This window comes from Homo sapiens, chromosome 2 (assembly GCF_000001405.40).
Source record: "Homo sapiens chromosome 2, GRCh38.p14 Primary Assembly".
Lineage (NCBI taxonomy): Eukaryota > Metazoa > Chordata > Mammalia > Primates > Hominidae > Homo > Homo sapiens.
In genome coordinates this window covers 130,528,604-130,551,397 of record NC_000002.12, presented here as the reverse complement: position 1 = coordinate 130,551,397, position 22,794 = coordinate 130,528,604, and the positions used below count along the sequence as shown (strand labels likewise).

The window sequence follows — 22,794 nt, the reverse complement described above, 5'->3', positions numbered from 1 at the left end:
GACTTTGTGATCTGCCTGCCTCCGCCTCCCAAAGTGCTGGGATTACAGGCGTGAGCCACCGCGCCTGGCCTTTTTTTTTTTTTTTTAGACAAAGTCTAGCTCTGTCACCCAGGCTGGAGTGCAGTGGTGTGATCTCGGCTCACCGCAGCCTCCGCCTCCCAGGTCCAAGCTATTCTCCTGCCTCAGCCTCCCCAGTAGCTGGGACTTACAGGCACCCGCCACCATGCCTGGCTAATTTTTGTATTTTAAGTAGAGACGGGGTTTCACCATGTTGGCCAGGCTGGTCTCGAGCTCCTGACCTCAGGTGATCCGCCCGCCTCGGCCTCCCAAAGTGCTGGGATTGCAGGTGTGAGTCACCGTGGCCAGCCCCCAGGAGGTTAGGTATTCTAAGTCACAGGATGAGATAGGAGGTAGGCAAAAGATACAAGTCATAAAAATCTTGTTGATAAAATAGGTTGGGGTAAAGAAGCCGGCCAAAACCCACCAAAACCAAGATGGCAACGAGAGTGACTTCTGGTGGTCCTCAATGCTCATTATATACTAGTTATAATACATTAGCATGCTAAGAGACACTCCCACCAGTGCCATGACAGTTCACGGCAAGGTCAGGAAGTTACCTTACATGGTCTAAAAGGGGGAGGAACTCTCAGTTCTGTTAATTGTCCATCCCTTTCCCTGAAAACCCATGAATAATCCACCCCTTGTTTAGCATATAATCAAGAAATAACCATAAAAATGGGCAACCAGCAGCCCTCAGGACTGCTCTGCCTATGGGGTAGCCATTCTTTTATTCTTTTACTTTCTTAATAAACTTGCTTTCACTTTATGGACCCGCCCGAACTCTTTCTTCTGCAAGATCCAAGAATCCTGTCTTGATGTCTGAATCGGCCCCTTTCCAGTAACAGGATGAGGCTCTTGGTAACCTTGAGGTATGCTGAATGCATTTTGGGGATTGGGAGGGACATGCGTCACTGGAGGCCGGAGGTTGGGCTGTGTTAGGTAGAATTCTAAGATGACTCGCTGCCACTCAGCTGTTGTCTATGACCCTCCTGTTGAGTGTGGAGGGACCTGTGACTGAGATGGCACAGCCCTCTCGTGACTGTTGTATGCTGGAGTTTAAGAAAAGGATATTGTATTGTCCCTAGTGGGCCTGACCTAATCCCTTGAGCCGGCGTCCTTATGGAGGAGTGGGTTGAACTCGGAAAGCAAGCTGGAAATGCTTGATGACGTGATGTAAGCACTTGCCCTCTCATCATTACTGTATATTTCTGGGCTTGGGCCATAGTTGCCTTCATGTCTCCCCTGCACAGTGGACTTCCTGGAGGGAGGGGCCCTGTGATGCTCTGGGGGTTTCCAGCGACCCCTGCCTCCTACCGACCTGGGCTCCCCGCACCCGCCGCGCGAGATCCAGTCCCAGCATCCTGATGGACGCAGGCGTTTTCCTGGAGCCCCGCGGTTGGCCACGCCCCGCGCTCTCCGCCCCGTCGGGGACGCCCAGGCCACCGGCCTGATGAGGGAAGCAGGGGCAGAGCGCTCAGGCCAGGGCCGGCGGGGGCACTGCGCACTGGCCGCCTCCCTCCTCTGGCCAATCCTCCTGCCGCTGCGCGTCTAGTCCACCTCGTCCCTCTCTGCAGGTGAGCGGGCAGGGGTGGCCCAGACAGAGCGAGGAGCAGAGGTCGCCTGCCTCTCGTGGCCGTCCCCCTCCGCCCGATGAGGACACCCGCCAGGAGGGCCCAGCCAGGCCAGGTCTGGCTCTCCGGGCCCTGGGAGGAAGGCGCCTTTGGAAGGAGGGGAGAGGGCGGGGCGCTCCCCCGCTGGCTCTGCCGGGTTGGATCTCAGGCCTCTACAGTCCAGCGCCCCACACACCCTCATTTCCAGGATGGGGAAATGCTACTGCAGACGGGATTGTGCGCGGACTGTCTCTCGTTCGCTTCAGTCTGGGAGAACACTGGGCCGGGAAGGGAGGGCACTGCCGCTTAGGGGCCGCGCAGTGGAGCAGTACATCCCTTCTGTAGCAGGCAGCTTCTGCGCCATCACAAACGGCATTGAGGCCTGGGAAAAGTCGGGCCCAGTGCTCACCCCGTAGCCCCACGGGCCGTCGCCCCTGACAGGGGGCCATGGGCTGTGTGCTCCCGGGTCATCCAGGTGGTGCTGTCACATGGGCCACGTGGCTTCAACCTGAGCCTTGGACTTGTCCCTCCTGTGAAGTGAGAGGAGGGGCCTGGTGGCCCCGAGTCCTGTTGATCCTGATATTTGGGGGCACCCGGGGCTGGCTGGCGTCCTTCGTGCAGGCACCTCATTGCTGGGCTGTCTCCACAGTGTGTGAGAAGGCCAGATTCAGCGGCAATTCCTCCGGGAGGCCCACCGGGAAGATCTTTGGAGGCCAGAGGGCTGAGCCTTAGCGGTGGCCATGGCAGGCCAGTCTCCTCTACCTAGGCGGGCACATCTGTGGAGCTGCCCTCATCGACAGCAACTGGGTGGCCTCTGCTGCTCACTGCTTCCAAAGATGCATCTTCCCTCCACGGGCCCCGCTGTGGGAGTGCATGCAAGAGGGAAGCCCAAAGTGAGGGCGCAGTCTTTTCTTTGTACGCTTTGTTCTGGGACAGTTTGCTGCCCCAGGTGTCCTGCCTTTGACCCAGCAGTGCCCTGTGCCTGGAATGCTGTCCCTGCTCGTCACTCTGCTCCAGTCTCCTGACCAACTGTGTGGCATCTCCCAAGCAGAGGCTCCTACCTCATCTCTCACTCTGGGGTTGGGCATTCCCCAACCCCACCCCACCCCACACCACATTGGTCAGCCTGCTAAGATGGTGTGGTTGCCTCATTACATTGCACATTACTTTGAAATAGCTAAATGGAGCCGGGTGTGATGGCTCACACCTGTAATCCTAGTACTTGGGAGGCTAAGGTGGGAGGATTGTATGAGTCCAGGAATTCCAGACCAGCCTGGGCAACATAGTGACACCTCATCTCTACAAAAAGTACAAAAATTAGCCGGGCCTGGTGGTGTGCGCCTGTAGTCCCAGCTACTTGGGAGGATCACTTGAGCCTGGGAGGTCAAGGCTGCAAGTGACTGTGATCACACCATTGCACTCCACCCTGGGTGACAGAATGAGACCTGTCTGAAAATAAGTAAATAATTAAAAGTAAAAATAAATAGTTAAGGCCTGTCACGGTGGCTCACACCTGTAATCCCAGCACTTTAGGAGGCCAAGGCAGGTGGATTGCTTGAGCCCAAGAGTTCAAGACCAGCCTGGGCAACATGGCAAAACCCATCTCTACTAAAAATAAAAAAATTAGCCAAGTACGATGGGGCAGGCCTGTGGTCCCTGCTACTGAGGAGGCTGAGGCAGGAGGATCACCTGAGCCCAGGGAGGTCGAGGCTGCAGTGAAATGTGGTTGTGCCACTGCACTCCAGCCTGGGCCACAAAGCCAGATCTTGTCTCAAAAATAAAATAAAATAAATAGCTAAATGAAAATTAACTCACTCTAGTTGGGACTGTCAATAAATACAGGAAAACAGACTTTTGTTCTAAAGGGAACCACTTCCAGCCCATTCTCCGTCTGCTGTAAACTTTAGGAATCAAAATCCTAATGTTCCCCTCAGGGTGAACTTTGGTTTCTGCATCTTGCCCAGCTCTAGGCCATCCACACAATCTCAGTGGGCCTCGGTTTTTCTTGTGTAAATGGTAGTGGGTGTGCAGTGTCCCAGGCCACACACTTGACACACACTTCAGGTGATAAGACAGAGTGACAGTCCCAGGGCTTCTCAGGGCCAGGCAGGCATGGTCGAGCACCTGGCCCCTTCCAACCAGGGCTCATTGCAGGCTGTCCGGGGAACACCTGCCGGAGGCTCCCCTAGGTCCTGGCTACCCACATATGCTGGCACATTCTTCCCCAGAAGGGTCCTGCGACTCTGTATGTCCAGCCACCAGGGGGTTTTTGTCACTTCTGGAGAATTATTTGCCACCGTCCCCACAGACCAGAGTGAGGGATGAAACAGATGGCCTCTGTCCCAGGAGGTGTGAGGCAGAGGGTCAAGAGACTGAGTTACTCCTCCGATGCTTCCTGGGCTCGCTGTGTGCCCAAAGGGAGTCAGGGAGGATGTCCAATTCTGAGCCAGGAAGCCAGAGCTTTGGACATAGCTGGCTGTAGCATCCTCCTCAGGTCCCACTCATTTATTCAGCATCCACAGGTGCCAGGCCTCAAGTGAGGCCCATTGTGTGGTACATAGAGATGCAAGCCCCACTCTGAGGCTTCTCATCCTGTCAGGAAAGTGAGGCGCAAGCCCAGGACCATGGTAGACCCTGTGCCAGACAGGGGCTTAGAGCAGGAGAGGCCTTGGGGGAGGTGGATGCAGCCATGTTGGGGGAGGAGAACCACACAGCCAGGACCTGTGGGTTGGAAAGTCACTCGTTTTCTGGAAACAAGAAGTTCAGTTCCATTAACTCCTCCATGTGCTTCACAAATACCTACTGAGTTCCTGTCACCAGGTGGGGCAGCCTTGGAGAAGGTGGTGTGTGAGAACCGGGGAGAAGTGGGTGGAGCATGCTGGCTAGGGAAACAGGGTCTTTGAGAATTGCTGTAGGTCATGGGGCCTTGGGAAGGTTCTGGTCAGAGCTAGGAATGAGCCAAGTCTCTTCTTTTCTGAAATGAAGGGGTGAAGTGTAATGCATCGCCAGTGTTTTCTGCACTAAGATTCTCTACTCCTTTGAGTCTGGGGCATGCTGGGAAAGCCATCAGGAATCATCCAAGGCCAAGTGTCCTGAGGCTGTAGGCCCTCAAGCTTGTGTCAAGAGCAAAGCAGGGCTATCTGACACGAGGAAGGGAGGAGACAGAAACCCCAGAGTGATGGTGGGGTCTGGGTGCCTTCCAGGTGGGCAGCCGGGGTGAGGGTGCCGGCCCAGCATTCAGAGGAGCCTCCCCACAACAGGTCCACTAACCCATCTGATTACCGGATCCTGCTTGGGTATGACCAGCAAAGCCATCCCACAGAGCACAGCAAGCAGATGACAGTGAATAAGATCATGGTGCACGCTGACTATAACGAGTTGCACCGCATGGGGAGTGACATCACCCTGCTGCAGCTGCACCATCATGTGGAATTCAGCTCCCACATCCTCCCCGCCTGCCTTCCGGAACCAACCACGTGGCTGGCCCCTGACAGCTCCTGCTGGATATCTGGTTGGGGAATGGTCACCGAGGATGGTGAGCAGTGCAGGGCAGGCAATGCAGGTGAAGGTGCGGGAGGCCGCTTCGGGGCTCTGCCAGTCCTCCCTAGTGTCACAATTCCCCCTGGCATGGGTCAAGCGGCCTGAGCTTCTCCCACTTTTGGAGGCAGGTACTTGGGCTCTTTGACTCTGAGCCATTCAGGATTCCCTGGTTCTGAATGTTTCTGACTCCACCCTGATTACAAGGGCCTGCTGCCATCTGACCTCCTCCAGGGCCTCACCAAACTCTACTGGAGCTTCCACAGCTGTGGAAGGTGCCGGGCATCAGTAGCAAGTAAGAGCAGGCCTGCGGGTGCGGTGGCTCACGCCTGTAATCCCAGCACTTTGGGAGCCTGAGGTGGGTGGATCACGAGGTCAGAAGATCGAGACCATCCTGGCCAACATGGTGAAACCACATCTCTACTAAAAAAAGAAAAAAAAATATATATATATATATATATTTTATACACACACACACACACACACACACACACACACACACACACACACACAGAAATTAACTGGGCATGGTGGCACGTGCCTGTAATCCCAGCTACTCAGGAGGCTGAGACAGGAGAATCGCTTGAACCTGGGAGGCGGAGGTTGCAGTGAGCCGAGATCGCACCACTGCACTCCAGCCTGGCAACAGAGTGAGACTCTGTCTCAAGAAAAAAAAGAGCAGGCCTGTCCTCCAGTCCAAGTGTTTATGGCTCAAGAACACTTATCTCTGTGAATGTGAACCTCACTGCTCACCCAGTATATTTGTCATATATTTGTATATTTGTAGACTGAGAGGGAAGAAATGTTAGGCAAAGACTCTAGCAAAAGAGTGAATGCTTTTGATTTAGGGAAATGTAATGATGAGTGCAAAAAAGTAGAATGGCAATTTGGCATTATTTGTGGGGTCATGATCTGGCAGAATATCTCAGAGGAGGCATTTGGGACAGGACTTTCTTCCATGAACAGGCCAGAGCTGGCCTCCCTGCCTTGGCCACTGAATGCCAGTCACGTGGCCCTAGTCATGAGAGCAGCCAGCCCTCCAAAGACAGCCTCCTGGGACTGTCATTCTCAAACTATTTTTTTTTTTTTTTTTGAGACGGAGTCTTGCTCTTGTTGTCCAGGCTGGAGTGGGATGGCATGATATCGGCTCACCACAACCCCCACCTCCCGGGTTCAAGCGATTCTTCTGCCTCATCCTCCTGAGTAGCTAGGATGACAGGCATGCACCACCACACCTGGCTAATTTTGTATTTTTAGTAGAGACGGGTTGCTCCATGTTGGTCAGGCTGGTTTCGAATTCCCGACCGCAGGTGATCTGCCCTCCTCGGCCTCCAAGGGACTGTCATTCTCTAAGAATCAAGGCAGAGAAGATTCTCCAGGTGGGAAAGGAGGAGCTAGGGCCTGGGGAAGTCACCAGTTAGTTGGATCAGCTACTGAGCAGAGAGCCACCGACCTTGATGAGAGATCTGGGCTCTAGTCATCCTTCTCTCTCCACACACCGGCAGCCCCCAAGGACACATGAGGCCCACACAGGGCAGGCATTGTGCAGGGGTCGGCCCCTGTCATCGCGCTGCTCCCACATGGGGACCCCAGGCCAGATCTGGGAGCGACATCTGGAAACAGAGCCCAAGTGTCCCCAGACCAGTTGCTCCTTGAGGAAGGGCCATGCCTGATTTGTCACACTGCTACACTGCTCAAACCCACCCAGCACCTGCTAGGTATGCCACCGGCCAGGCTGGCAATCCAGCTGCCACCCTCCCTGCCTCCAGCTCTGCCTCCTCTTAGCAGCCAGAGGGCTTGTTTTTGACCCTTCTATTGTGTCCCAGTGTGCTTGGAACGACACCTCCAACACCACATCCTGGCTAGGAGGGCCCCTGCTCTGGGCCCTGAGGCGGCTGCACCTCACCTTTCACCCCACGCCTGCTCCCTTGCAGCCACATTGGCCTCCCTCCTGGTTCTTCCTACTGCAGGCCCTCCCCCTTTGGCTGTCCCCTTATCTTCGTGTGCTCTCCCTGGGCCAGCAGGCTGGGGAGGGAGGGCTTCCCTCTGGCTGCAGCTGCAGTTGAGGCCCACATCTGACACCTCCTCCCACATCTGACATCTCCTCCCACATCTGACATCTCCTCCCACAGTCTTCCTGCCTGAGCCCTTCCAACTTCAGGAGGCAGAGGTCGGTGTCATGGACAACACTGTCTGCGGATCCTTTTTCCAGCCCCAGTACCCCGGCCAGCCAAGCAGCAGTGACTACACCATCCACGAGGACATGCTGTGCGCTGGGGACCTCATAACAGGAAAGGCCATTTGCCGAGTGAGTGGGCTCACTCTCTCTCCCCTGTGCTGCCCTGGGCCTCTGCCACAGGGTCTCCTCTGGACCCTGCCCCAGCCCCGACTTCTTCCTGAGCCCAGCCAAGCCTGAGGTGTCGGAGCCAGGACAGAAACTCCCAACAAGCACTGGCCCATCTGTTTTTTTGTATCTTTTAAGAAACGTTGTTGGTAGGGTACAGTGGCTCACGTCTGTAATCCCAGCGCTTTGGGAGGTCGAGGCGGGTGGATCACCTGAGGTCAGGAGTTTGAGACCAGCCTGACCAACATGGTGAAACCCCATCTCTACTAAAAATACAAAAATCAGCCGGGCATGGTGGCACGTGCCTATAATCCCAGCTACTTGGGAGGCTGAGGCAGGAGAATCGCTTGAACCCGGGAGGCGGCAGTTGCAGTGAGCTGAGATCATGCCACCGCACTCCAGCCTGGGTGACAGAGTGAGACTCCGTCTCAAAAAAAAAAAAAAAGAAGAAAAAAAGAAAGAAAGGAAAAAGAAACCTTATTGAAGCACACCATGCACAGGAAAGGGCAAAAGTACAAGTGTCCTGTGGAGGAATTTTCAGAGACTGACCACTCATGTACCCGGCACCCGTGGGTTTCATCCTTGCCCATTCCTGACGCTAACTCCCCCAGGATAACTCTGCCTGCTTTCTAAAGCACCATAGCTTCATGTGGGGACTTTTAGCTGAGTGAAGCCATATGGTATGCAAGCTTTTGCCTGGTCCCATCAGTCAATGTTGTGTCTGTGGGATGCATCCATCTGGCGTGCAGTCTGTATTGTTCATTTTTATTGCCGTATGCTATTCCACTGTGCAAAGACACTGCAATTTACTCATCCATTCTAGTGTGGGTGGCATTTGGGTGGTTCCCATCTGAGGCTGTTGCAAATGGAATTGCTGTGAACTTCCTGGTGTATGCATTTCAGAGCACATAGGTTCCCATTCTGGTTGGCGGTCCCCCTGGCAATGGAATTGCCTTGCCATGAGACATGCACATGTTCATCTCTCGTTGATCATCTGAGAAACTCTGCAACCTGGTTGTACCAATTTGCATTTCCACCAGCTGGTGAGTGATAGTTCAGGTTGCACCCTGTTGTTGCCAGTCCTTCAAATTGTCTGCCATTTTCATATGAACTCTTGTGTATGGTTTTTAATGTGCATTTCTCTGGTGACTGGTGAAGATAAGCCCTTTGTTATATGTTTATTGCCTCTTTTGTAAAGTGTCCGTGCAAGTTTTTTGCCAACTATGGGATTGTCTGCCTTTCATTCTGAATCATAGGAGTTCTTTATCTATTGTGGCTATGAGCCCATTATTGGATATGTTCATATATTATGAATGTCTTATCCCACTATGTGTAATCTTTTCATTTTATAGTGCGGGGAACTGAGGCCCAGAGAGGAAGTGTATCACCCAAGGTGAGGGGTCACAGCCACAGTCAAGCTTGGAGAGGCCCTGCCCTTCTTGGGAGCTGTGGGTCCCAGGAGGACTCCTGCAGGATCCTCTCCCTCTTTTTTTTTTTTTTTTTTTTTTGATACAGGGCCTTACTTTATCGCCCATGCTAGAGTGCTGTAGTGCAATCTCGGCTCACTGCAACCTCTGCCTCCTGGGTTCAAGTGATTCTCCTGCCTCAGCTTCCTGAGTAACTGGGATGCACTACCACGCCCAGCTAATTTTTATATTTTTAGTAGAGATGGGGTTTCATCATGTTAGCTGGGCTGGTCTCAAACTCCTGACCTCAAGTGATCTGCCTGCCTCAGCATCCCAAAAGTGCTGGGATTACAGGTGTGAGACACCGTGCCCGGCCTCCTCTCCCTCTGTTGCGCCTCCCTCTTTTTCTTTCTCTCTCTTTGGTCACCTCATGGTGCAGAAACATTCTTCGATGACTCTCATCACAAAATGCCCTACAGGCACCCTCCCTGCTCCCCACAACCTCCTCCCACCCCACCCATCCCAGCAGGGCTCACCCCAGGGTGCCTGCCTGTGCCCTCTCTTGCTTCCTGGGCTCCGTCCTCACCACAGCCATGCTGTCAGGCGTTGGTGCAGCATCCCCCATCAGACACTGTGGGCGGCCCCTCCTGCTCTCTGCTCTCCTCCTTGGAGGGGCCCTTCAGCCTCCTGACACCAACAGCCCACTGTGCACCACTGGGCCTGCTTCCCCTGCCTTGCCCCATTTCCTTAGACAGAGAGAAAGGGTCAGATATGGCAAGTCCCGTCTGTTGACCATTTCCCGCCAGCCTCTGCCATCCCTTCTCCTGCAGTTGTGTCCTGATGGGGCTCAGGCCAGTACCATCCTATCAGACAGAATCTGCACCAGGTCCCATGGGTTCCCTGCCCTCTGAGGAGGCTGTGGGCTGGCACAGTCAGGTCTTGCCCCTCCTTCCTGTGTTGGCTCAGAGAAGCTCTAGAATTAGAGCAGCCCTTCTGGGGTCCTTCCAGGCCGCCCCGATCCACACCCCCCGTCTGCGATGTCTGTTCATGTGGAAGGTCCCTCGGGGCCTCTTCAGTGCTGTGTGCACACAGAAAGACTTGGTCATGTTGATTGCACAGATGGCAGGAGGATGCTTGTTTCCTTGGGTTTCCCTTTTTGGCCTATGGGATGCGGGTGCTCTGCCCATGATGTCAGGGACTTCCCCGCTTGGGGGCCCTGCCACACTCACAATCCCCCGCGCTCACCTGGGAACCCCTGGCACTTGCCCTACCCCCACGCTGGGCACGGGCAGCACCTCTTTTCCCCTCAGCACATCCCACAGCCTGGCATTTTCTAAAAAGCTCAACCAAGAAATGGAGGGAACACTAGAGACCTTAATAAGTGAAGGACATCTGGATTCGGGACTAGATTTAATCCCAGCACCTTGGAGGCCAAGGCGGGAAGATCACTTGATACCATCAGTTCAAGATCTGCTGGTAACATGGCAAGATCTCCATCTCCATTTTAATTTTTTAAAAAAAGTTTAAAAAAGAACAAAAATGGCCGGGCGCGGTGGCTCATGCCTGTAATCCCAGCACTTTGGGAGGCCGAGGCGGGTGGATCACGAGGTCAGGAGATCGAAACCATCCTGGCTAACATGGTGAAACCCCGTCTCTACTAAAAAGACAAAAAATTAGCTGGTGTGGTGGCGGGTGCCTGTAGTCCCAGCTACTCGGGAGGCTGAGGCAGGAGAATGGGGTGAACCCAGGAAGCGGAGCTTGCAGTGAGCTGAGATCGCGTCACTGCACTCCAGCCTGGGCACAGAGCGAGTCTCTGTCTCAAAAAAAAAAAAAAAAAAAAAAATACTGGTGGGATGCAGTGCTTGGAGGAAGATTCAGGCCAAGGCACAGCCATTCCTCCAGGCTGGCACCCAGCCACCCTGGGGACCACAGGCAGTGCCTTCTCCCCACTGGGGTCAGGAGGGCTAGGCCTGGATGTCCATCTCCTAGAATCCCCTGCTTATTCTCATGGGTTTGTGACTGCCAGGATGGAGGCTCTGCCCAGGGTCTCCTTGGGAGCTTTGTGGAGTGAAGCTCCAGGGCCCCGTGCTCGAGATTTTGATCCAGGAGGTCCCTCCTGGGTCTGGGCTTCTAACATCGCCCAGGTGACTGATGAGCACCACTCACTCAGACAGTGGAGACACCTGCCCCACACCTTGCTTCCCACATTCCATCCTGGAGAAGCGTAAGGTCCCCTCCTGTGCCCTGAACAATGCGTGTCCCTCCCTGTCTTGGTCCCTACCACCCATGTCCTCTCTGTTCTCAGCGAGACTCCAGGGGTCCCCTCGTCTGCCCATTAAATGGCACCTGGTTCCTGATGGGGCTGTCTAGTTGGAGCCTCGACTGCTGCTCACCCGTCGGTCCCAGGGTCTTCACCAGGCTCCCCTACTTCACCAACTGGATCAGCCAGAAGAAGAGGGAGAGCACCCCTCCAGATCCCGCCTTGGCTCCTCCTCAGGAAACACCCCCAGCCCTGGACAGCATGACCTCTCAGGGCATCGTCCACAAGCCCGGGCTCTGCGCAGCCCTTCTGGCTGCTCACATGTTCCTCCTGCTGCTGATTCTCCTGGGGAGCCTGTGAAGGGCCAGGGCCCCTGGCCTCTTACCACAAGCATGCCCACCTCAGGCCGGCCTCCTTGCTGAGCTCTGCACACTCCTGACGTGTTTCCATCTCTGAGCTCTCCTGTCCACCCAAGGCCACCCCTGCCTCAGGCCTGACAAACTAAAAACCACCCAAGAAGCTTCTTGCTCTGGTTTCTGGCCCACCAGAGCCATCTCCCATGCTCCACTGTGTCTCCAGCTCCTCAGGGAGGGAAGGTCTCCCTCCTCCCTGGGCAGGGTCCAGGCTGACCATATGGGAGCCAAGTCACTCTCCTTGGGAAGTTGGGTCGCGCAGACTCAGGCCCCATTCGGGTCCTCCAGGGCATGCAGTCTTCCAGAAAAATGGGGCCAGGGCCTCCCCACATGGAAGAAGCTGCCTGTCCTCCTGGAGCTGGGTGTTGTGCACCGGTCAGGGATGAAGCGGCATCTTCCAGGTGCGCAGGTCACAGAGGCTCTCCTCGACAGCTTGCAAGTAAACTGTGAAGGGGGCTGAGGTCTTCGGTCAGCAGTACCAGAGCTGTGTCCCATGGGCCAGCTCTCAGCTGACTGCCCCCTGTACCCGCTGCCCTGCCCTCTCCCTGCCTCCAGAAACCCAGCCCCCATCCCTGTGGCTTGCTCCAGCTTGTAGGGGTTGTGGCTTAGCTGACCCAGGACTTGCTGGTCCAGCACTGAGCCCATAAACCAGACTCTGAGTTGCCCCTGTAAACCTGTCTGAGTCAGGTTTGTATCCTAACGAGTCAGCAGGACTCTCGAAGGGCCTCGCACCGCAGCTCTCCCGCAACCCCCAACCTGAACTCACAATAAAAAGAGAGCAGCCCCCCTTCACTGAAGGTACATTGTGCCCCAAGTGCCATCCAGGTGTTCTGTGCAAATTATTTCTAGTCCTGTTGTCACCCAGATAGCCCAGGCCCTCACCAGCAGGTGGGAACAAGTGAAGTCTCATGGGAATGATCGGCAGAATCTCTTGGTCTTGAAGCCCTCTGACACTAATGCAGAGGTTTCCTTTCCAACTCAGAGCCTTCCTTCCCTCCTTCCTGGTGAGGTGCCACTGAGCCAGACACCTATGCCCAGCACGGTATCTGGCTTTACAAGCTCAGCAGTGTCTGGAAGCGAGAAGAAAGCATTTCCTCTCCTGATGGCAAACTCAGTTATGGGGCTGCAGAGTGGGACTGCTGGGCCCTGAGGTGGGAATTAGCACTTGATCAGTTCAGATTTAGAGCATTAGCCACCGCTGTTGCCAGAACTGCCACTTTCCCTCTGCCCATGGTGGCCCCATGCTGGCTGGGCTGGAGTTCCCTCACGTGGTGACTTGTGCTTTGTCCATCAGCAGGCATGTTCCTACGTGAAGCATGGAGTTACGCAATGGCCTGCCTGTCCATGAAGTTCCTCTGGCCTCCTCCGATTCTGTGGCTGCAAATCCACACCTAGGAGCTCCGCAGGCCTGCTGGAGCACAGCGCCTGTAGGTTTCTGCGCCTGGAACCCACCTCAGGACCACAAGCCGCATTCAGTCTCTTTTTATAGATCTGGAACCCGAAGCCCAGCGTGGTTAGGAACTTGTCTAAGGTCACTTGGTAGTAAATACTGGAACAGGGATTCAAACCCACATCTCCAGAGAGAGCTCAGAAGCCTTGTGCTTTCCATGAGTGCAGCTGTTTCCAGAGGCCTCCGGCCCTGTCTCACCTTCCCAGACTGCCTTGAGAGGCTCTAGCTGGCCTGTCTCTAGTGTGGCCAGATTCTATCTGGTCAGTGGCAAGGGAGGACCCCAGGCCACAATACTGACATCAGGGAACAGAACAGATCTGCAGGGCCAGTGAGTGGTGCTACGGAAAGGCTGGGAGTGGCCCCTGCGTGGTTTTCCCTAGACCCATCGTCAGGGGCTCCAGGCCTCCATGTGTTGTGCTGCACGGGCTACTGGCTCCCTCTCCAAAATCGACCCTGGGTGAGCTGTGGAGGCGAGAAGGCAGTGTGCATTTCAGAAACTAACCAAAATCAGTGAGAAAATCTTGGAGAAACTGAAGTTACCCTGGGCGGCTGTAGCTGGGAATGGAGGATGGGGCAGCCAGGAGCCAGACTTAAGAAGGCTGTTCACACTCTGCTCTTGTTGCTTGCCTCCCACACCTCGTGACAAATGCTGCCTGGTCCCGCTCAGGTGTCAGGATTGCAAGGTGGCTGTGTCAGCCAGTGTGAGGGCCCCACAAGCCACCGGTGTTGTGTGCCCTCCATCCTCCTCCTGAACCCCCCCTGGGTGGGACAGTTGCTATCCAGGGAAATGGGCCTCTTCCACTGTGATCTCCTCCAGGGCTTTCACCGGCAGGCCCGCCTGCAGGAGTGGCTTGTGGGGTGGCAGGATGCAGGAGAGAGTGAGTGAGGTGCTTCGTGCCTGGGGCCCTCTGCTCTGGGGCCACCCTCCTCGTTGACTCACTGGGAGCCTTGCTAGTGCAGACAGGGTGACCAGGAGCTGCTAAGCCCAGGGAATGCACACACGTGCACTGGAGCAGCTGCCTATCTTAAGAGTCCAATGCCCACCGAAACACAGTAGGCTGCACAGCATCCACTACTGGAAGTAGAGTTGCTGGAAAAGACAGACCAAACATATTTAATAAGCACAATAAATATCTTTTTGGATACAGAAAAATATTATTAGTAATAAGACCTAAGACAAAGAAACTACCGAAAAGAACCAAGTCAAAATATTACATATGCAAAATGTAATCGTTGAATTAAAGACCACATTACATTGAGCAAACAGGGTCAATGCAGATGAAAGAGGAAGCCAGTCGTTACTTTAAAGGTATGGCTGTCACAGTGTGGACTTTGGAGCCCGTCCACTTTAGTTGGGGTAATTTGTAGAGCATTTATTTACAAAAGTACTAATCACCCAGGTATGTTTGGGCTGAAGGCTCCGGGAAAGCCCAGGGCAGGGGCCTGGCACAGGCATCAGAAGCAGAGCTCTTGCCACCCAAGGCCCTGAGGGACCAGTGAAGTAGGAGCCGTGGGGAGAGGGTGCCTGAGAGGAGCAGGGACACTCAGCCGAGGGACACAGCCAGCCAAGGCGGCCTCACAAAGAGGATTTTCATGGAAACAAATGCCCTGACTACTTCATTCCCACATCTTCGGCTGAGGCTCCCATGGCAAGTGGAGAGAGCAGCTGCAGGTGGCCTCGGTCACTTGGGTCAGCTCTCCTGCTTAAAACAAACACAGAAATCAATAAAAGTGTTGATTGTATTATTTAAAAAAAAATCTTCGGCCAGTCGTGGTGGCTCACACCTGTAATCCCAGCACTTTGGGAGGCCAAGGTGGGCAGATCACAAGGTCAGGAGATCGAGACCATCCTGGCTAACACAGTGAAACCCCATCTCTACTAAAAATACAAAGAATTAGCCAGGTGTGGTGGCGGGCACCTGTAGTCCCAGCTACTCGGAAGGCTGAGGCAGGAGAATGGTGTGAACCTGGGAGGCGGAGGCTGCAGTGAGCTGAGATCGTGCCACTGCACTCCAGCCTGGGCGACAGAGCGAGACTCCATCTCAGAAAAAAAAAGATCTTCATAAAGACATTGGAAATGTAGAAAGAGAACGGGGATCTGCTAGGCCATGTTCTAGAGGGAAGCCTGCCATGAGAATGGTCATCACATGTCTGGGACGCACAGTGGTCTCTGCTGGGAGGGCCTTCTCAGAGCTCACAATTGGGCTGCACCTCAGCAGACCTTTGCAAAAACAGCAGAAGTCAAGGCCCAGGAGTGGAGCTGTGTTGGAGTTCTCCAGAGAAACAGAACCAATAGGATGTGTATGTATATTGTATAGTGAGACTTTTCATCTTAGGGAATTGGCTTATGAGATTACGGAGGTTGGCAGGCAGGCCAGCAGGCTAGAGACTCAAGGAGAGCTGATGGTGGATCACTTGAGCCCAGGAGTTGGAGACCAGCCTGGCCAACATGGTGAAATCCTGTCTTTACTATAATAAAAATACAAAAATTAGCCAGTCATGGTGGTGTGCGACTGCAATCCTAGCTTCTCCAGAGCCTGAGGCAGGAGAATCCCTTGAGCCCAGGAGTTTGAGGCAGCAGTGAGCTATGATCACACCACTGCACTCCACCCTGGGTGACAGAGCAAGACCCTGTCTCCTAAAAATGAAGAGTTTCCGGGAGCTCTTTCTTTGTCCCCTAATGGTAATTTTTCTTTCCATAAACACAACCACCAAAACTTCAATTTTAAAAACTTATGCTATGGTAAGAAAGACATAGTTCTATGTTTCATGTTCTAACATGAAAATGTTACAGAAGATGCTGCTTTTTAAATGTGAAAAATCGAGTTATATTGATTTTTATTTATTTTATTTATTTACAAGATTGGGAAACAGATAAAAGGAACATAAGTAATGTCTTAGTCTGTTTGGGCTGCTATAATAAAATGCCATAGGCTGGATGGCTTGTAAAGAACAGAAACGGCCGGGCTTGGTGGCTCACGCCTGTAATTCCAGCACTTTGGGAGGCCGAGGCGGGTGGATCACGAGGTCAGGAGTCCAAGACCAGCCTGGCCAACATAGTGAAACCCCATCTCTACTAAAAATATCAAAATTAGCCAGGCACGGTGGTGGGCGCCTATAGTCCCAGCTACTCGGGAGGCTGAGGCAGGAGAATGGCATGAACCTGGGAGGCGGAGCTTGCAGTGAGCCGAGATGGCACCACTGCACTCCAGCCTGGGCGACAGAGCGAGACTCTGTGTCAAAAAAAAAAAAAAAAAAGAAAAAAAGAAAAAAGGAAAAACAAAACAAAACAAAACAAAAAAAGAGAAATTTAGTTCTCACAGTTCTGGAGAAGTGAAGTCTATTTTCAAGGTGCTGGCTGATTTGGTGTCTGGTGAGGACCCACTTCCATAGATGATGCCTTCTGGCGGTGTCCTCACTTGGCAAAAGGGGTGAGGGGTCTCTCTGGGGCAAACAATTCTATTTAAATACAATGTATTTCACACATATACATGAGCCAGAAGGAAACTCAAACTATAATGTGTTTGAGTTTTTCTTGTTTTTTTTTTTTTTTTTTTTTACAGAGTCTCACTCTGTCGCCCGGGCTGGAGTGCAGTGGGTCAATATCCGCTCACTGCAACCTCCACCTTCCAGGTTCAAGTGATTCTCCTGCCTCAGTCTGCTGAGTAGCTGGGATTACAGGCATGTGCCACCACACCAAGCTAATGTTTGTATTTTTTTTTTTTTTTGAGACGGAGTTTCGCTCTGTCGCCCAGGCTGGAGTGCAGTGGCGCGATCTCGACTCACTGCAAGCTCCGCCTCCCGGGTTCACGCCATTCTCCTGCCTCAGCCTCCCGTGTAGCTGGGACTACAGGCGCGCGCCACCATGCCCGGCTAATTTTTTTTTGTATTTTTAGTAGAGACAGGGTTTCACCGTGTTAGCCAGGATGGTCTCGATCTCCTGACCTCGTGATCCGCCCGTCTCGGCCTCCCAAAGTGCTGGGATTACAGGCGTGAGCCACCGCGCCTGGCCTATGTTTGTATTTTTAGTAGAGATGGGGTTTCACCATGTTGGTCAGGATGGTCTTGAACTCCTGACCTCGTGATCCGCCCGTCTCAGCCTCCCAAAGGGCTGGGATTACAGGAGTGAGCGCCACCGCACCTGGCCATCTGTGTTTTTATTTATTCATGTATCTGAGACAGAGTCTCATTCTGTCTCCCAGGCTGGAGTGCAGTGGTGTGATCACGGCTCCCTGCAGCCTCTACTTCCTGGGCTCACGTGATCCTCCCTCTTCAGCCTCCCGAGTAGCTGGGACCACAGACGCGCACCACCACGCCTGGCTAATTTTTTAAGACTTTTTCGTAAGGAAGGAATCTCATTATGTTGCCCAGGCTGGTCTCGAACTCCCGGGCTCAAGTGATTCTCCTGCCTCGGCCTCTCAAAGTGCTAAGATTACAGGGGTGACCCACTGTGCCTGGCCTCATTTTATATTTATATTTACTCAAAATGACAACCTCGACGGGTTTCCTTGCAAAGGTGTGCAGAGCACAGCAAGAATTTCAACGGGTAGAGTGGGCGGACTCGGGTGGGGCGCGGCACCCCCTCCCCCATCCCCTGCGGAGCTTTTCTCAGCCTGCGCCTTCCCGCGCAGGAAGAGGACCATGTGCGGTCCTGACGCTCTTCCCTGAAGAAACCCTCATGTCGATTTTCATATTATAGTGTTTCTTGCTCACCACACAGGAATTATGGCGGGCAGGAGTGAAAGAGACAGACTTTCCACACGATAACGGCATTTCCTATTCTTGGCAACATTGTTTAAAGCAAAATATTAGACCCCAAATGGTGAAACTTGGAGGATGATTCCCCCAGCTCTGCCCAATGGCTCCTTTTTCCTGAGGTTCTCAGCAGCACTTGGCGGATGTGGCTACACCGAGGTCTGACTGCAGAAGGCAGGAACCCTGTCCTGCCTTCCAGCTATTGAGATCCTGGGAGGGCTGACTGAGGCCGCCTGTAATACCAATGGGAATGAGAGAGGGGCTGGAGTGATGCTGCAGTGGGGGAAGTTTCTTTTATTAAAAAAAAATATATTATTTAATTTTAATTTAAAAATTTTTGAGACAGGGTCTTGCTCTGTAGCTTAGGCTGGAGTGCAGCGGTGGCATCATATTATATAGTTCACTGCAGCCTCTACCTCCAGGGCTCAGTGATCCTCCTGCCTCAGCCTCCCAAAGTGTGGTGATTACAGGGGTGAGCCACTGTGTACCTGGCTGGAAGTTTTCATTTGATGCCAAAAGTGTCTGAGGGAGCAAAGACTCTGGGATGACTGAAGTCTCAGGCCTGGCAAGCACCCCACACAGGGAGGCTCAGGAACAAGGGTTAAAATGATAATTGACGTCAAACTTGTAGTGGAGGTTTACAGTCTCTCCTAGACTGCAGAAAAGGTGCCTGGGGGTTGGAATCCAGGGGCCAAACTGCAGCCCCCTGATTTCCTGTTCGCTGGCTTCCGGACCTGCTGAATTCTCCCACCTCCTCAAGCCTGGGTTTTCTACATAAGTCAAAGACCGTAAAGGTGGCTTTTCTTTCATCATGATCTATCACATGCCATGAGGGAAAAATACAAAGGTCTGCTTGGAGGTGAGATTTATTATTATTATTATTATTATTTTTTTTTTTTTTTTTTGAGAGGGAGTCTGGCTGTGTCGCCCAGGCTGGATGGAGTGCAGTGGCCGAGCTTGGCTCACTGCAAGCTCTGCTTCCTGGGTTCACGCCATTCTCCCACCTCAGCCTCCCGAGTAGCTAGGACTACAGGCGCCTGCCACCATGCCCGGCTAATTTTGTGCATTTTTAGTAGAGACGGGGTTTAACCATGTTAGCCAGGATGGTCTCGATCTCCTGACCTCGTGATCCGCCCACCTCGGCCTCCCAAAGTGCTGGGATTACAGGCGTGAGCCACAGCGCCTGGCCTATTATTTTTTTTTGAGACAGAGTCTAGCTTTGTCGTCCAGGCTGGAGTGCAGTGGCACAATCTCTGCTCACTGCAACCTCCGCCTCCCCGGTTCAAGCAATTCTCCTGCCTCAGCCTCTGGAGTAGCTGACATTACAGGCATTTGCCACCACACCCGGCTGATTTTTTTTTTTTTTTTTGTATTTTTAGTAGAGTCGGGGTTTCACCATGTTGGCCAGGCTGGTCTCGAACTCCTGACCTTGTGATCCACCCGCCTCGGCCTCCCAAAGTGCAGGGATTACAGGCGTGAGCCACTGCACCCCGCCTGAGATTCATTATTAAATGAAGTCATTGATTCCGTGACAGATTCTGAAGCAGGGTGTGTCCGTTTAGAACCCAGTGAGCATGTTCTGGGTGGTGATGAGACTTCCCCCTAGGTTTACTGAGGTGTCCTTGCCAGAGAGTAAACCTCAGAGGCAGCAGCAGGCTGCTGAGCACAATGCTGGGTCCGAGCAGATGCTTGTTACTCATCATCCTCGTCTCGGCTCTGGGGTGTGCCCCGCCAACGAGACAGAAAGTCACCCCACCAGCATCAGGGGAGCTTTAGCAAGGACAGCCCAGAAGCAAGGCCTCAGTGGCTCCTTAGTCCATGGCGGTTCTAATGGTGTGAACAGCTCTTGCCTATTTGTTTTTAAATGTGGGTTTTATTGTTATTTAGGTAGGACAAGAATGCAGACATGGAAATGATGAAAAGATAGTTTATTATATTCATAGGGCAGGAGGACAGTCCACACAGGGCCACATGGAGAGGCACCAGGGTTGGTCAGGAAGCAAAGGGAGCAAGGGGAAAATGTACCAGGCAACTAGGGACAGCCCCTGTGCCCTGAAGCCTGCAGAAATGACTCACTAGCCAACCCTACACCATCTGCCCCTGCCTCACCTACTCCTTCCCACAGAAGCCACAGTACAGGCTCCTGCCCACAGTGCCCACTCCCTCTGCCTCCCGGCCCACCCTGGGGCTGCCCCATGTGGCCCTGCATGACACGCCTCCTGTTTCTAAGTGAGTATACACACTTTTTCCTCCTTGACATCATTTCCAGGTCTGCATTCTTACCATATCTGGTTAAAACGAATCTCATTTGAAAACGAACTGACTCGGCAAATAAATCACTCGCGAACAAACTAGTAATGTTCTCACATATGTAGTGCCAGAGTTTAGCTGTTTCAGGTAATTAACATAATTTGTATAAGGATTAGACATAGTTCTACAGTAGATCACATTTCAGATTTAATGACAATAAATTTGTTGGAGAGTCAGTGAGTTGGGATGCAACTCCACTTGTCAAATCATGGTTGCATCACAACCATAGGTTTGAGTACAGATAGAAGATCTGATAAAAATCAACAAAAGCATATAGGCTATATGGAGTAAAGAGTACTGTATATTTTGTTGTTACTTGAAATTCTGTGCTATAATGTACTTTATATCAGTAAAACTTATAATAAAGTGATATCGGCCGGGTGCAGAGGCTCAGGCCTGTAATCCCACCCAGCACTTAGGGAGGCCGAGGCGGGTGGATCACGAGGTCAGGAGATCGAGACCATCCTGGCTAACACAGTGAAACCCCGTCTCTACTAAAAATACACAAAGTTAGCCGGGCATGGTGGCGGGTGCCTGTAGTCCCAGCTACTTGGGAGGCTGAGGCAGGAGAATGGTGTGAACCCGGGAGGTGGAGTTTGCAATGAGCCGAGATCGCACCACTGCACTTCCAGCCTGGGCGACAAAGCGTGATTCCATCTCAAAAAATAAAAAATAAAAAAACAAAAACAAAAAACAAGTGATATCAGCATACTGATGCACCTGTTTTGTTTCTGGAGCGCCAGTTCTTACACACTGAGCAGCACATCCTTCCCCTGGGAGTACTGCAGACATTTCCCAGCCTAGGGCCCCACTCACTTGGCAGCACTCAGCTCCTGGGGATCCAGCTAGCTCTGTGGCCACAAACTTCCTTAGTACTGTGCTGGGGTTCTGAAGGGGTCCAGGTGCTGGCCAGATCAATGTGAGTCGAGCAGCTGTAACCATGGGAGACACAGCCCCTTGTTTTCCTTTCCCTATAACAGACAGTCCAAGTGAGATAAGTGCCTGCGCATAGAAAGCTTATCAAACTTAATTTTAAATACTCAAAACTGAATTCTGTGGAAAAGTCACTCCCAGAAACTTTTGTGGTGTGATGTATGGCTGTATGTGCCAGAGTGGCTTTGCAGACAATGGAAACTGGGAAAATATCCAGAGACTGCTTTTGAACGCTCACAGCCAGAAGAGTCGATTTGGTTCTAGGCTAGAGGGGGGAAATTGTGATGTGGCTGAAAGGAACAAGAGTGCCCCTCAGCCGGCAGGCATTCGCTGGGGCTCCGAAGTTAAACCCCAACATAGGAATGGGCTGAACATACCAGCCCTGTGCTGGTACAAGTCCTTATGCATCCCCTGCGTCTCCTCCCAGTGTCGCTGGTGAGTGGCTCCCTCGGAGAGGGGATGTGAGGACAGATTTTGCTCTTCTAGGATGTGTGGGGGATGACTGAGCCAGGGCTAAGCTGGCAAGGAAAGGGCAGCTTCTATAAACACTGCAGAATGGACACAGCTGGGGACTGCTCTGGGAAGGGAGATGCCCTCCCTCCATCCGGGTGAGCAAAGCCAGAGGTGTGAACAGGCTCTTCCCAGCAAGGGGTGCTGGCAGATAGTGGCCTAGGGGGATTTCTCTATCTCTCCTCCTCGACTGCGGGGGACAGCTAAGATCTGGGACACATTTATGTGAAGCTAACAGCCATGAGCCCAGCATTGCTCTTTTCTCTCCTGAGAAGTTTCTCCTTTTTAACTGTCTCCCTGGACGCCTGGGCTGCCAAAAGAAAATGCCTTTTATCTTCAAATTCTCCTTGTCTTTTCAGAGCTAGGTACTTAAGGGCTTCTCAGTTAGTAGACAGATAAATGGTAACTTTGGCTTTCTTGCTTATAATCAAGAATCATTCCACTAGAAGGATCCATTCTAGTATTCTAGTAGAGAAATCCATAGAGCCTGATTTCTAATTTTCTAATTAAAACGTATTTATACCCTATTCATACTAATATTGAACAGTTCTCAGTTTTCCTTTTAACCACAACTGTGACCTCTCAAGTTCCATTTCCTAAGTGCACCTACTGAAAATAAGGCAGTGTCTTTTTTGCCTGCCAGTGTTGTAAAAAATAGGCATTTTGTAAACACAAATTTTATGAATAGCATATACATATTCATCAAGCTCTTAGGCTAATTTGCAAAGTTCATCACTTGTTGATTCCTACAATAAACTGAAATAAGGAAAGGTACTGCTCAGAACACACTTGAAACAACTTTGGTATAAATATATATATATTTTTGAGACGGAGTCTCGCTCTGTCGCCCAGGCTGGAGTGCAGTGGCGCAATCTCGGCTCACTGCGAGCTGCGCTTCCCGGGTTCACTCACACCATTCTGCCTCAGCCTCCCAAGTAGCTAGGACTACAGGCGCCCGCCACCACGCCCAGCTAATTTTTTTTTTTTTTGTATTTTTAGTAGAGACGGGGTTTCACCGTGTTAGCCAGGATGGTCTCGATCTCCTGACCTCGTGATCCGCCCACCTCGGCCTCCCAAAGTGCTGAGATTACAGGCGTGAGCCCCCGCGCCGGGTCTCAAAAAATATTAATGCCTAGAAATATTTATGTCTCAATACTTGAATAATTATTTTTCTCATGAACCAATGAACTCCAAGCCAGCCCTCTA

The 22,794-nt window shown here is 52.5% G+C and overlaps 1 pseudogene across 3 annotated transcripts; it reads left to right on the top strand.

Moving 5' to 3' along the window:
- The first annotated feature begins 1,469 nt into the window (after positions 1–1,469).
- PRSS40B (serine protease 40B (pseudogene)) lies at positions 1,470–14,828 on the top strand (annotated as a pseudogene). 3 transcript variants are annotated; one of them, NR_171645.1, is made up of 5 exons: positions 1,470–1,634; positions 4,931–5,205; positions 7,340–7,515; positions 8,904–8,944; positions 11,263–12,303. The product of NR_171645.1 is annotated as a serine protease 40B (pseudogene), transcript variant 2 (transcript). The 3 variants fall into 3 exon arrangements; NR_171646.1 differs by lacking the exons at positions 4,931–5,205; positions 8,904–8,944; NR_033930.1 differs by lacking the exons at positions 4,931–5,205; positions 8,904–8,944; positions 11,263–12,303 and adding an exon at positions 12,928–14,828 and having other exon boundaries at positions 1,483–1,634.
- The last annotated feature ends 7,966 nt before the right edge of the window (positions 14,829–22,794 follow it).